This window comes from Homo sapiens, chromosome 17 (assembly GCF_000001405.40).
Source record: "Homo sapiens chromosome 17, GRCh38.p14 Primary Assembly".
NCBI classification, from domain to species: Eukaryota; Metazoa; Chordata; class Mammalia; order Primates; family Hominidae; genus Homo; species Homo sapiens.
The window spans coordinates 80,899,874-80,913,437 of record NC_000017.11 but is presented as its reverse complement, the minus strand read 5'-3'; the positions used below and the strand labels follow the sequence as shown (position 1 = coordinate 80,913,437).

The window sequence follows — 13,564 nt, the reverse complement described above, 5'->3', positions numbered from 1 at the left end:
AAACCAAGAGAAAAGGGAGCTAAAAGCAAAATGAAAACCCCAAGCCCATGGAATGGGAATCGAAATATATTATAAATACATGAAATCAGACCACAGCTCTGGAGCTGTGTGGGTTCTCTCATACAGAGCTGGTGGCAATTTCTGTATTTGAATATAGAATTCTACAGGGCATTCCATAGTAATAAGGCTGTTTTAGACTCTGATGAACAAAAATTTGGCTTCAGAGTTAAATATCTAAAATAGGCTCGTTTCTCTGTAAAATGAAATGTAATCCCTTCAGTTCCTAGAGCAGGAAAATAAGGCATTTCTTGAAATTAAAATGAAGACAAGAAAGATTTATGCTTCCAAATGCTTTAGTAGCAATGTTTACTCTTAAACCCACACACATATACACTCAGACACACACACACGCGTGCACACACACGCACACAGACACACACACACAAGCTCATGCTGCATTGTGCTATGCATAGCAAGGTCTCTAGCAGAGGCCTTCTCTTGACCTTCTCCACCCCTCTGGCTGTGGCATGTCTGCTGGAGTGATGGCCATGTGCCTTAAGGTCTCTGTGTCATTCTAGAACGGCAAAGCAGGCACAGAAGGCAAATGCCACTTTTATGGCGGTTTCTGGGTCTCAATCGGATAGCACGACAAAGCCGTGTGTTCGAGTTGCTATAACCTGCTAACATGAAAGGCAGACGCAGGTGCTTAACTGCCTTACCGTGGTGGGAGAGGGGGGCGGGCCGTCCAGCTACACTACATGTCACACACAATCCAAAAGGGCGCTGGGCTGTGGAGGCTGTGCTGGGACGTTTGCTGAAGAGCAGAGAGCAGTGGCTTCTGTGCTACACAGGCTCGAGAGCTTCCCAAGAGGAGCTATTTAACAACTGGAGGCCAGGTCCACAGGAACGCACTTAATAGTCCTTATATTTCAAGATTAGGCACTCGGATTACAGTTTAAAATAATTCAGGCTAATTTTTCAGTAAGGTTAAATACACAAAAGCCACTGAAAAATAAACTTAAATAGGCTGAATACTGATTTCATCATGATCAAAATACCCAAGAAGCTAAATTAATTGGGGGAAAACGATCAAACCTCCTAAATAGCGCTGGCCTCCAACTGTGCAGTCAGGACAGAGCAAGGGTGGTCCATGGCCACAGCCATCCTGTGCCTCCAAGAGAAAAGAAGAGGCCACCAGACACTCCTGTGTGTCAGAGAACTGCCAGCAGAGACGCGAACTGGCCATCAATTCTAAAAACTTAAACCATTTATTAATGTTCGTAAAAAGCTTTTACAACTATTTTAGTGAAAACGGCTATTTAAAACCCAACCTTGAAATCTTAAACTAAAAGTGGTAGAGGCTATTTAGAGTCTAAAAGGGCAGTGGTAAGTGGTAAGAACTGATTTTCCCTAATCCGTAGCAGGCAGATGTGACGGTTTCAGTCCCAATCCTCCAGAGCGTCAGCTCATCTGAGAGGCCTCGGGACCGGTTGCTCTGGTCTGGGGCCTCCGTGGGTGGTTTCCTCAGGGGTGTTTGTGCAGTCTTATGACTTTCTTTTCTTCCTTATTTCCTTCCTGTCTGCTTTACTGCCTCCCCTTCTTGGTCTCAGACCATAATGTGTAACAAACATATATTTTTAAACATTATTTTAAAAGACACGGTCTCACTCTGCCGCCCAGGATGAAGTGCAGTGGCACAATCATAGCTCACTGCAGCCTTGAGCTCCTGGGCTCAAGGGATCTTCCAGCCTCATCCTCCTGGGTAGCTGCGACCACAAGTGCTTGCCACCGTGCCCGGCTAACTTGCTACTATTTTGTAGAGACGGGGTTTCACTATGTTTCCCAGGCTGGTCTCAAAACACCTGGGCTCAAGTGATCGTCTCTCGCCTTGGCCTCCCAAAGTGCTGGGATTACAGGTGTGAGCCACCACACCCAGCCTGAGGTTTATTTTTGTATTTATCTTATTCCTAGTTTAAAAGCAAATAATTATATTATTTCTTAGTTTTCTTACCGCATAATGAAAACATTAACTTAATTGACTGGCTATTTTCAACAGGCCAGTAGCACATAAAAGAAACCTGAGGAGATGGCCTGCTGCCTGGGGATGAACGTCTCCAGGTGCCCGTGCAGCTGGCCACACCACACGGTGACGAAGGAGGTGGCAGAATCCGCTGCAGGGATGCGGTGACGAAGGAAGTGGCAGAGTCCGCTGCAGGAGGGGAGGCCGGTGCAGAATTAAACAATCTGGACCTTTCCAAGTTGGCCAATAGGCTACTTGTGACTATACCGGTGATACCATAAAGAACAGGCCAGGCGCAGTGGCTCACGCCTGTAATCCCAGCACTTTGGGAGGCCGAGGCAGGCGGATCACGAGGTCAAGAGACCGAGACCATCCTGGCCAACACGGTGAAACCCCTCGTCTCTCCTAAAAATACAAAAATTAGCCGGGTGTGGTGGCTCACGCCTGTAGTCCCAGCTACTTGGGAGGCTGAGGCAGCAGAACTGCTTGAACCTGGGAGGCGGAGGCTGCAGTGAGCTGAGATTGTGCCACTGCACTCCAGCCTGGCAACAGAGCAAGAGAAAAAAAAAAAAAAAGAACTGAAGAAGAACCAACTGCAGACGGTAAGGTGATTTCCATCTAAGATATAACTAGACCAACAGAAAATAACTTAGTTGAAGGAACCGAAAGCCACAGAAGTATAATATCAGCAAAAGGAGCTGAGGAGCTGCAGGAACCCTGGCTCGATGGCCGGCCAGGACCCAGAAGGCCACAGCAAATGAGAGGGGGAGACTCGATAGCTCATTTGGAAAAAGCGATGGACTAGGATGGGAAGCCGTGGCTCCTCGACCCTGCAGACCCTGGCACTGAGTGATACCCGAGGCAACGCCATAGCCGTGACGAGGTCAGATGAAGACGTAGAACACCACAGAGGCTGCAAGAGTGTGGCCTTTCCCTGCATTCTTCCTGCAACATTTCTGTAAGCTTTTGAAGTTTTATCAAAAAGTTACCAAAAAATTTTTAAGTGCTATAATGAGTGACTTCTAATTCCACATAAATCATCCAACTTCCATAAGCAACTAGAAAACCAGGACAAATACCGTAAACAATTGTTTTTGGACACTGGGTGCTGGGTGTCACGGGCTTGTGATCCCTGAGAGAACGGAAATAAACAGCTGCCCTGTGTCCGGCTTGCAGGTAGTTTCAGGCAGTCCCAGGCCACAGTGCAGAGACGGGGAGCCCAGCACTTTCAGGGAACAGGAGACAGAGACTGGGGCTCCAGGGAGGCTGAGGTGGTGACAATTTGCAGGACAGAGCACTGGAGAGGGGAAAGCTTCCAAGGTCTGCAGGAGAGGCCCCTGGGGTCTTTGACTAAGTATTCATCTGCTCAAGGGTAGAGTGACAACCCATGAGGCAGAGAAAAAACAGCGGGAAGGCGGTAGGCCAAATGCCCAGAGCTCACAAAAGGGACTGAGAAGAGTTTACAGTCCCCAAAGAGAAAGGACTAAAATCAATGACCTCTGCTTCTACCTTAAGAAACTAGGATGAGAAGAGCAAATTAAACTCAAAGTAAGCAGAAGAAAGCAAGCTTTATTGATGAAAGCTCAATCAATCAAATGGAAAATGGACAAACAACAGAGAAAAACCAATGAAACCAAAAACTGATTCTTTGAAAAGTTCCCTTGAGCTAGAATGGCCATGAATAAGAAACCATTAACTAGAAGGGTTTTGAATGAGTCAAAAATTACTGCTATCAGAAAGGGAAGAAAAGTCTGGGTGTGGTGGCTCATGCCTGTAATCCCAGCACTTCAGGAGGCCAAGGCAGGAGGATCACTTGAACTGAGGAGTTAGAGACCAGCTTGGGCGACACACTGAGACTCTGTCTCTACAAAAAATTTAAAAATTAGCCGGGTGTGGTGGTGTGCACCTGTAGTCCCAGCTACTTCCAAGGCTGAGGTGGGAGGATTGCTTGAGCCCAGGAGTTGGAGGCTACAGTGAGCCGTGATCAGGTCACTGCATTCTAGTCTGGACAGAGTGAGACTGTCTTACAAAAACAAAAAACAGGTGCAGTGGCTCACGCTTGTAATCCCAGCACTTTGGGAGGCTGAGGCAGGAGGATCCCTTGAGCCCAGGAGTTCAAGACCAGCCTGGGCAACACAGGGAGACCCCATCTCTTATAAATAATTAAGTAAAGAAAGAAAAAAAAAATGGAAGAAGGGCCAGCACTGTAGCTCACCCAGACACCAGAGGATCCTGAAAGATAATGTCAGTCCTCCCCTAATTGCCTTGACAGGCATCAGTAAATCCAGCACCCTCTGCCCACGTGGGAGCTGCACAGACACAGTTTGGGGTGTACTGTGTACATCTCCAGATTTAAGATATTTGCTGAAGCTCGTTTTGTTACTTTCTAAACTGTGGTGTGGACCCGGGCACACCTGGAGTTCCTGGCATGCATACTCGTAACCGAGAACCAGCAGCTGGAGCGCGGTGGGGAGCGCCCGGCACGTACCTTGTAGGCGATGCTGTTGAGTACTTTCATGGCCACGTCCGAGACCTCTGGATAGGGGTCAGCAGCCAGGTGCAGCAGGACTCTCCAAATCTGAGTGTAAACACTGTTAAAGGAAACTCCTGAGAGAGAGAAATGGAAGATGTTTTAGTGGAAAGTAGCTGCCAATGAGGCTCCTAAGGCGGCTGCATTTTCTGAAACCCTAACCCTGGTATCAGAAGTGTTGCTTTAAAGAGCCGAGGTTACAGGAAGCCCCCATTTTGTTATTCTGGCAACGGGTCCCGAGATTCAAGAATCCTAGCTGATCACTAGGCTTGATCACATGGATTCATCTACTGAGGCCAAATCTTTCTAAAAGGAAAACTGCGTTGGAAAGGGTGTAACTTTCCTTGAAATGCCTCAGCGGATCGGAGGGCATGACCACACTCCCGGAGGAGCGTCTGATGTCACATCCTAGATTTCTAGGAGCTGCCGCAGCCCATGGGTAGTGGTGCATGTGGCATGGACGTCTGCACTGCACCAAGTTCAGCACGTGCTGCTGTGCACTGTGACCCAGGGAGTGCTTCCTGCCCACCTCCACGTGCTTCCTGTCCACCTCCAGGCACTGGCCCTGCTCTGAGATGCTAGGACTTCACGAAAGGTTGATGTGCTGTGACTTTTGTCCCTAAGCCTCTCCCGACTCACCCAACACTCAATGCAAGGTTCTGTGCTGCATACTCGGATACAAAGACAGACAAGGCAGGACCCAGCAGGGACTCAGACTCATTTATAAATAACACTGGTGAGTCGTGGGCATGGAGGGAAGCGCTGAGGCTTCGTCGGTGAGGATTCGTCGGTGCGGCTGCTCGGTCCTATTTAATTCCCCAGCAATCCTACAGGCAGGTGTTACCCCCAGCGTCGCCAAGGAAGGTGAGGCCCAGAGGATGAAGGATGTGAACGCACACCCATCAAACCTTTGAGCCATGCTACGTCCACGACAGCGTGCGGCCTCAGGGAGATGCAGGAAGGAGCGAGAGTGACTCCTTCTGTCAGCAGTGGGCTAGGAAGTGAAGGCCAGGAAGGCCTGGTGGAAGAGGCACGAAGGAGCTGGGCTTTGAAGGGAAGGAGGATCATTCTCTGGGCAAAGGAGGGGTGGAGCGAGAGGGGGTAGCACAAACAAGATCTAAGACATTGAACAATAAAACACGGAGGTGATGGGGACGCGGAGCCTTGGGGGATACCTGACGGAAGCCTGCAGGAGCCAATCAGAGATTGTGGGGTGGAGGCTGTGAGCACTTGGAAACCAGAAGGGGGGGCAGGCACGGGCTATGTGGGCTCCTGGCACAGTCAGCATTGGCTGAGGCCAGGGAGGAGGCTGATGGAGCAGGCATTGCCGAACTGTTGTCCACGCCACGCTGGACCCAGAGAGGCCGAGAAGGGAAGCAGCAATCCTGGTAGAGGCTGCATGTCCAGCAAGGGCTGGGCCGAGGACCAGAGGCGCTGAGCGTGGAGGGCAGAGCGGGGCCAGGCGCTGCCTCCCCTGCCTGCGGGCACCAGGAGTGCCAGTTTACTGCCAGGCTTCAACCCAGAGGCGGAGGCAGACAGGGCCCTGCCCTCAGTGCTGGGAGCTGAAAAGGGATCCAGCCACACAGAACTCCATCTTCTTTATTTTTGGGGAAGCTAGACAATTTGCTGAGAAGCAAGTGCTTGTTCACTAAATAGAGATTCAAAGGGTTTCGAGTGAGGTGTGATTCCAGTCCACCTGATTGTTGGTGAAAGAGCTGAAGCATCGAAAGCCAGTGGAGGGCCTCGTGTCACTGCAGGAACACAGCTGCGCACGTGGAGTGGGTTTTGCACGACACAGTCAAGTCCACGGAGATGGAGGCGGGTGCGAAAGTCAATGTGTGCGTGGGTTCTGCAGATGCCTGAGGCCACTGGCTCACCTCCACCTATGGTCTCCGCTAAGCGAGCCCAAGACGGGCTCTACTTCAGCTCCAGATATGGCGGGCCAGTGTCTACCCCTGCTGTGCGCGCCCCCACCGTGAGTGCAGAGGTCAGGGAAGCCCCATGCCCGTGGCTCCTGAAGAGGCCCCCATGAGGAATGCGTGTTGCAGTGAGTGATTGTCTCCAGGACTGAGCCGTGTGGAATTGAGCTCAGCTGCCATCTAGGAGGTCACGCTGCCATCTAGGAGGTCACGCTGCCATCTAGGAGGTCACGCTCTGCTGCTGTGCTGCCTGTGCTGGCGTGAATCATGAGAGGCTGGGACCTTTTCTGGGAGCTGACATGTCTCACCTCACAGGGCGAGTTTACAGCCTTCAACCAAAGGAAGCATTCTTCCCAGGGACACGTCCCCTGCGGGTCTTGCCCATACACATGTGTGCCTGGCCGGCGGTCCCTGTGCTTGAGCCTTGTGCCCAGGAGGAGGCAGTGGGAACGTCTTGGGAGCCTAGGGCCCAAGCACACCTGGACTTCAGCGCCACGGTGCCACGCAGATGCACCTTCTGCTCAACCGTGGTCCTGCACCGCGTGTACTGGGACAGAACCGAAGCCTTCCAGCTCTCAGATTGCACAGCTCTGCGATAGCCGTGTAGATCCACAAGCAAGTCTCGGAAATGTAAAATCGGTCCAGACTGTAGGAACATCCCTAGAGTCTCCTCTACCCCAGCGGAGCCGGCTCCTAGGAACTGCTCCGTGCAACACAAGGACATCGGCGATGGCTGCGTCCTCATTTTTTTTTTTTAGAGTGGGTGGGTGGGCTAGGAGATTTGGCTTTGAATTCCCTCCCGCGACAGGCCCTGGTGAGGAGGAGATGCGGCCTCACTGGCGAAGTTCGCTACCGCCTAGCTCCACGACACTCTCTAACATGGGTGACAGGATGGCCCCGTAAGATGCCCGTTGATGACTGCCCACCTGAGACCCACTCCCCTTGATTATTCTGGGGTCCTGGGCTCCCCACAGCTGAGTGAGGCATTGAAGCAGCTCCCCACGAGGCTCGACTGCCCCGTGAAGGGGCTGTGAGGGGCAGCTGGCCTTATATGAGAACCCTCCTCACAAGACCCGGGGGTGAGGACCAGGCCACTGTGAAGAATAGGGCACTGGGCAAGCCCGGAACCCAGGGCAGGCACGGCAGGAGGCCCCCCACTCCCGGCGGCCCTGGCAGACTGCGAGGAGGGTGCAGGCTGGTGGCTGCTCAAGCCTCACCCACAATGTGGGGGCCACAGACGCGGACACCCGGGGTCTAGGTCAGGGCTCCACAGGACACTCCAGGTAAGGACCCTGGCAATGTGCAGGGCGGGGTGGGGGTGTGTGTGAGATGTATTAGCTGCTACTTTCATCTAACTTTTTTTTTTTTTTTTTGAGACAGAGTCTCGCTCTGTCGCCCAGGCTGGAGTGCAGCAGCGCGATCCCGGCTCACTGCAAGCTCTGCCTCCTGGGTTCATGCCATTCTCCTGCCTTAGCCTCCTGAGGAGCTGGGACTACAGGTGCCCACCACCACGCCCAGCTAATTTTTTTTTTTTTTTTTGTATTTTTAGTAGAGACGGGTTTCACCGTGTTAGGCAGGATGGTCTTGATCTCCTGACCTCGTGATCCACCTGCCTTGGCCTCCCAAAGTGCTGGGATTACCGGCATGCGCCACTGCGCCTGGCCACTTTCATCTAATTTTTAAAAACAGATTTTTATTACAGTTGGCCCTCTACATCCATGGATTCAACCAACCGCAGATCGAAAATATTTGAAAACAAAACAAAAAGTAATACACATAAAAAAAAAAACAAGAGAGCATAACCACTGTTGACACACTGTGCTGGGTTTGGCATTATAAGGAAACTAGAGAAGATGCAAGCACGATGGGGGATGTGTGTGGGGGATGCACAGCTGTCACGCCTTTCCTAGCAGGACTGAGCGTCGTGGGCCCTGGGCCCTTGAGTCCCCCACGCGTACCGAGGGCCAACGCTATTGTTGTCGACCTTCGTGCAGACTTCCACTTATATCAAAGTCGAAATACTGTTTGCGACTCAACAGGGGAAAAAAAAATCTAATTTTTGCCAGTCTTTTTAGTGACAGTGGATTTTATAACTATGTACTAGTAAAAAGTATGACGCTGTGATCACGGAACTGCTGTCTTTATTTCACGTCTTTCCCTGGTTTGGCCACAATCTTCTCTCAGGCTCCGTTGTATGAACTGTCCTGTTGTAAAATCTGCCAGTCCCCAAAACAGACCGCAGAGAACTTCCCATCGGATTCGAGTCCACCAGGAAGGAGGTGGGGCTGCCTGGGTCCTGCCCGGCAGGGAGTCAGGGACCGGGGATGTTGAGCTTAGAAAGGGCCCCTGCTGGCACTCACAGAACTCCCTGTAAGCACGGAGAACCTATTTTCATGTCTAGACTAAAAGTAATAAAAGATCATAATGAATGGTTTTAGAAGTTATTGTTCAGAGCCCAATGGCCACAGCTTTCCAAATAGCATACACGGCGGGGAAATTTACTCAGAGCTCTGGCTGACTCTGAATCCCAGAAGCTCCCCGGCTGTCGGAGCAGTTCAGAGAAGACAGAGTCTTCCTGCAGGTGACAGCTGCCAGCCGCCACCCCAAGGCTGAGGGGTTGGCAGAGCGGGTTACGCCCTCTGATGTGCTCACCCAGTCTGTGATGGCCAAGACCCTCTGCCATCCTGGGGAACCAGTGCCCCAGGCCGAGGGCTTCCGCAGCGGCCCCTTTCCTGTGACCCCTCCTGACCCCTCAGGGGCTGCACCCACAACTCGGTGTGGCTGTTACGAGAATCACGCTGACCAGCCGCTCCGCCCTCCCTCCTCCTGGGCCGGCCGGAGCCGTGGGCCCTGCAGCTGCCCACAGGGAAGACGCAGCACCTCCCGGGCCGGGTGGGCGGTGCGTCTGCATCGTTTTCTCAGCATATTCAGTACCCCTACGAGACAAACATCATAATGGCCTTTAGTTAAGGACTTTTGTCCTAAAAACATAATCCTGTAGCATTGGAAAACTGTTGTTCATTTTCTCACCACCGTCTTCTGACAAGAGTAACTCCAGTTTCTGGGTTGTGAAGCCTTTTCCTTCCAAACCTACACAGTTCCTTTGGCAAAAACCCTGCCTAGCTTTTCTTTTGGTTGAGCGAGCACCAGGCTTTTTTTCTGCAAAGGCAGAAACCAATACCTTCTCTGCCCTGAAACCCAGACCTCGAGGCCTGGCCGGAACTCACTACTGGGGGTCTCTGGAGCTGCACGCGGGGCTTGTAAGGACTCTTTCAGCTTCTCGATGCCTTGGAAAAAAGGAAGGAAACTGTAGTTCTAGGTACCCAAGAAGGTGAGGTGGGAGGATTGCTTGAGCCCAAGAGTTCGAGGCCAGCCTGGGCAACACAGCGAAACCCCGTCTTTAAGAAACATTAAAAAATAAACCAAGGGAGAAGCAGTTGCTATGGCCCGTCCTGTGAACACCAATGATGCCGCAGTGCAGCCGGCCGCAATGTGTGCGGCTGAGAGGCCTGGGCAGGCCTGGGGTGCAGGGGCCGCCACTGTTCTGTGGCCTCCCAGGAGCCGGGCAGTGCCCCAGTTTCTGGGCTCGGGTCTCCGGGCTCCTCTTTCCTCCAAAGGCAGTAGTTCTGGCTCCCAGATTCGGAACGAAGTAGAGGGGTCAGGACTTGACACCAGCTCTCCCGCAGAATCCCGTGTTCAGGTGTGGAGAGCACAGGCGGCCTGCGGGGCTTCTGGCTCTGCCGCTGGCCAGGGCCCCCAGCTCCTCCTCTGGGTGAGCAGGGCGCTTGCCACAGCTGCACCAGGGCCGGCTCCAGGCTCCGCAGGGCTGTGTTCCTTTCTCGCCCTCCCCTCCCTTGCATTAGTCCATCCTGGATCCATTTCTATGGTAACTCATTTTCAAAACCGTAAAAAATGTCACCGTATCTAGCAGAGTCGTGAAAACTGGTCCCATCTAGCCCAGGCCTCTGATCTGCGTTCCTGCCAGCGCTCTCGGGATGAGGCTGTTTCTGCGGGAAGAGCCTTCTCAGGCCACCAGAGTCCCGAGCAGAATTAACTCCCGCCTCGCCTCTCAGCACGGGTGTGCTTGGACTCTGGCCGAGACGCAGGGTTTCGGGAGGGAAGGCGGGTGGAGCACACAGCAGCGTGGTCCCCCATGGGACTGCACTCTAGCTGGGAGCTGGGGCTGGACGGATGAGCGTGGGAGTGACATGGTGTGGGGCCACATGCATGGGTGTCTGGGGGTGAGGAGGGCACCTCAGGCTGGGTCCCGGGACATGTGGACACAGGCCACAGACCGTCTCCAGCCATCCTTCCATCCTGAGCAGCTCCACGGCCACTTGTGGCCGTCAGGAACACAGATAAGTGCAGAGGGCAGACGCATGGGCTGGGGGCCGGGACAGGTGAGGCCTGTGTCCACACATCCATGCGTTAGCAAGAAACAACTTTATAGGACTGTGGTGGTAAAAATGGCGACATCATGCTTTGATGTACTGGGTCAGGCACCTACATGGGGATCCTGGCGGTGGGCCAGGCAACCTCCCGGCAAGACCACCTGGCTCTGAGCTGCACGGATGGCAGAGGGGCCGGGCCAGGGGCCAGCCAGGGGTGCTGCGGGCAGGTGCAGTGGAGCGGCTGCTGCTGAGACGGGGGGCAGGAGGCTGAAGGAAGGCCTTGAATGTCAGACAATGGTTTGGCCTCTACAGAAAATGCGGTTTTAACGAAGGCTTCACCTGGAGGGTGGTGAGGAGCTGGTGTGAAAGAGGGCCTGCCCAGTTGTGGTCTGCAGAGAGCAAGACCCAGGGCAACGAGGCCTGGTGGGATGGGGGCACTGGAAATAGGAGGGATTGAGGTAGGGGATTCTTGTGGATGTCAGGCCAGACGAAGGGCTGAGTGAGAAACAAGCAGGATGGAGACATCAAAGAAGATTCTAGAACCTGACACAGTGCTGAGACCTGGGTTCCCATTTAGTTTCACAAACATTTATCCTGCCCCACCAGGGCCAGGCACTGCTGGGGGAACCTGGGCTCCATCAGCGATCAAAGGAAGCCAAGTACCAGCCAAGGGGCTTCATTGCCACGGGGAAGAAAGGAAACACGTGACTGAGGGTGTAAGAATGCAAGTGCTCTGGGGAAGGCAGAGCAGGGAGGGCGCTGGGGGCGGGGCTTCTGGGGGGCCAGGAAAGATGGGGAGGCGCTGGGGCAGGGCTTCTGGGGCACCAGGAAAGATGGGGAGACATGGACTCTCCAGGTTGCCATGGTTCTGAAAGCCTCTGCAATCTTCACTGAAAGGACTAAAGAGATTGCTGTTCTTTGGCTGAAATGAAAGAAGAAATTGGCTGGAAACAGGGAAGTGCTGTGCACAATGGGATTCTGTGTAAGTTATGACTTCTAAACACTTAGGTAAGCACGGTGGTTTCCAGGTGGTGTGAGTGACACCTCACTGAATATGAATGAGGCTGGCTTTGCAGGGGCGACTTTGTTTTCTTTCCTTCCTAAACTCCAGCTCATTGTGAAACTCTTTCCTGTCAAATTTCCTAAGATTTGAATGATATACGAATAAAACTCAGTTTTCTCCAGTAAAAAAAAAAAAGTCAGGAATCACATTGTATAAGAAGGATGGTGGAATGGGGAGTCCAGCTCCTTCGAGAAGACAGAAAAGAAAGAACCGGCAGAGGAGAAAACTCATGGAGGCCAAGCCCCTGTGTCCGGGCCCCAGGCTGCTGTGTGCTTCCCGTCTGGGTGGCCCTCAAATGAAACTGCGATTCTTCGCCCTGTACTCCACCGAGACCAGTACCGAGGATAACAACGGCATTCACTCATCACAGACAAGAGCTAAGTTTCACACAGGAGTTGGGCGGGGCCTCCGCAGTCCCTCTTGCCTGTGGACAGCACCCAGGGCCTCAGGCATGGCACGCGCACAGCAAACAGCAGCCTCAGCAAGTTCAGCCACCTGGAAACTCCACAGCTGTGAACTTTCTGTAGCCTTCGCCAGCAGAAGGGGAGATGCCCATGTGGTATCCAAATGCCCAGGGGGAAAGGGAGGTGCTGTGGGCGTGGGGACCTGCAGACGGAAGCTCTCAATGGTGCCATGGTGACCCAGCGCCACACTGCCTGGCTTGAGCTTCCTGGATCAACAAAAGGTGCGGTTCTGCACACTTGCAGGCCAGGTGCAACTTTTTATTTTGATTCTTACTTGATGGCCAGATACGTGTGAGTGGAGGGACGAGAGTGAACCGAGAACCCCATGGAGCATGGGCCAGGTAGGGTGGCGGGGCCACCAGGCCCTTGGCAGACGGTCACCAGGTGAGCACCGAGGGGTGATGCTGCTGTCGCTTCCTGTGAAAGAAGAAGGCCAGTCGAGCACAGTGGCTCATGCCTGTAATCCCAGCACTTTGGGAGGCTGAGGCGCGCAGATCACCCGAGGTTGGAAGTTCGAGACCAGCCTGACCAACTTGGAGAAACTTTGTCTCTACTAAAAGTACAAAATTAGCCAGGTGTGGTGGCATGCGCCTGTAATCCCAGCTACTTGGGAGGCTGAGGCAGGAGAATTGCTTGAACCCGGGAGGCAGTGAGCAGAGATCGCGCCATTAAACCCTAGCTGGAGTGACAAGAGGAAAACTCCATCTCAGAAAAAAAAGGAAGGCCACAGTGAGCACACGGCCCCAGGAGGGCCACAGTGGAAGCAGGGAGACCCGGGAGAGAGCTGCGACCACCAGGCCAGAGCTGCTGGCTCAGGTGGCTGCGAGGCGGGGAGGAGACGGCCACAGATGCCCGGCTGAGAGAAGGATGTGTTGGGGCACAAAGAGGAGTCCCCGACTCCTGGCCAGGAGTCAACCTGAGTAAACGCCGGTCCCCTTGGCTGCAGAGGGAGGACGCCCACTTCTGCAGGGAGGGGTGGGAGATGCCCAGAGCCGATGGTACTGGCTTCGACACAGGTGGCATTGGGTTTGCCTGTTCTGTACTTTTGTGCCCCAGCATGCACAGTGGGGGCACTGTCAAAATATCTGTCCAATCCGTGGGAGAATCCCAAGCCCTCTGACTCACAGGAGTATCCTTGGAGGCCAGGGTGCGGGCAGGGTGTGCCCTACTGTCAGGC

The 13,564-nt window shown here is 53.3% G+C and overlaps 1 protein-coding gene across 2 annotated transcripts in view, besides 3 other annotated features; it reads right to left on the bottom strand.

The window, feature by feature from the left end:
• Positions 1–13,564, bottom strand: part of RPTOR (regulatory associated protein of MTOR complex 1) — a 421,531-nt gene that overhangs the window by 52,931 nt on the left and 355,036 nt on the right. For both annotated transcript variants that reach the window (NM_020761.3, NM_001163034.2), the window contains one exon: positions 4,509–4,627. In NM_020761.3, the coding sequence (NP_065812.1) occupies positions 4,509–4,627 (119 nt within the window). The remainder of the gene's footprint in view (positions 1–4,508; positions 4,628–13,564) is intronic.
• Positions 1,689–1,738: an enhancer, noted in NCBI's record as "active region_12951". NCBI's record gives its function as "activates an Ori minimal core promoter by ATAC-STARR-seq in GM12878 lymphoblastoid cells {active_cell/tissue: GM12878}" and the evidence as "EXISTENCE:reporter gene assay evidence [ECO:0000049][PMID:35858748]".
• Positions 2,507–2,696: an enhancer, noted in NCBI's record as "active region_12950". NCBI's record gives its function as "activates an Ori minimal core promoter by ATAC-STARR-seq in GM12878 lymphoblastoid cells {active_cell/tissue: GM12878}" and the evidence as "EXISTENCE:reporter gene assay evidence [ECO:0000049][PMID:35858748]".
• Positions 2,817–3,046: an enhancer, noted in NCBI's record as "active region_12949". NCBI's record gives its function as "activates an Ori minimal core promoter by ATAC-STARR-seq in GM12878 lymphoblastoid cells {active_cell/tissue: GM12878}" and the evidence as "EXISTENCE:reporter gene assay evidence [ECO:0000049][PMID:35858748]".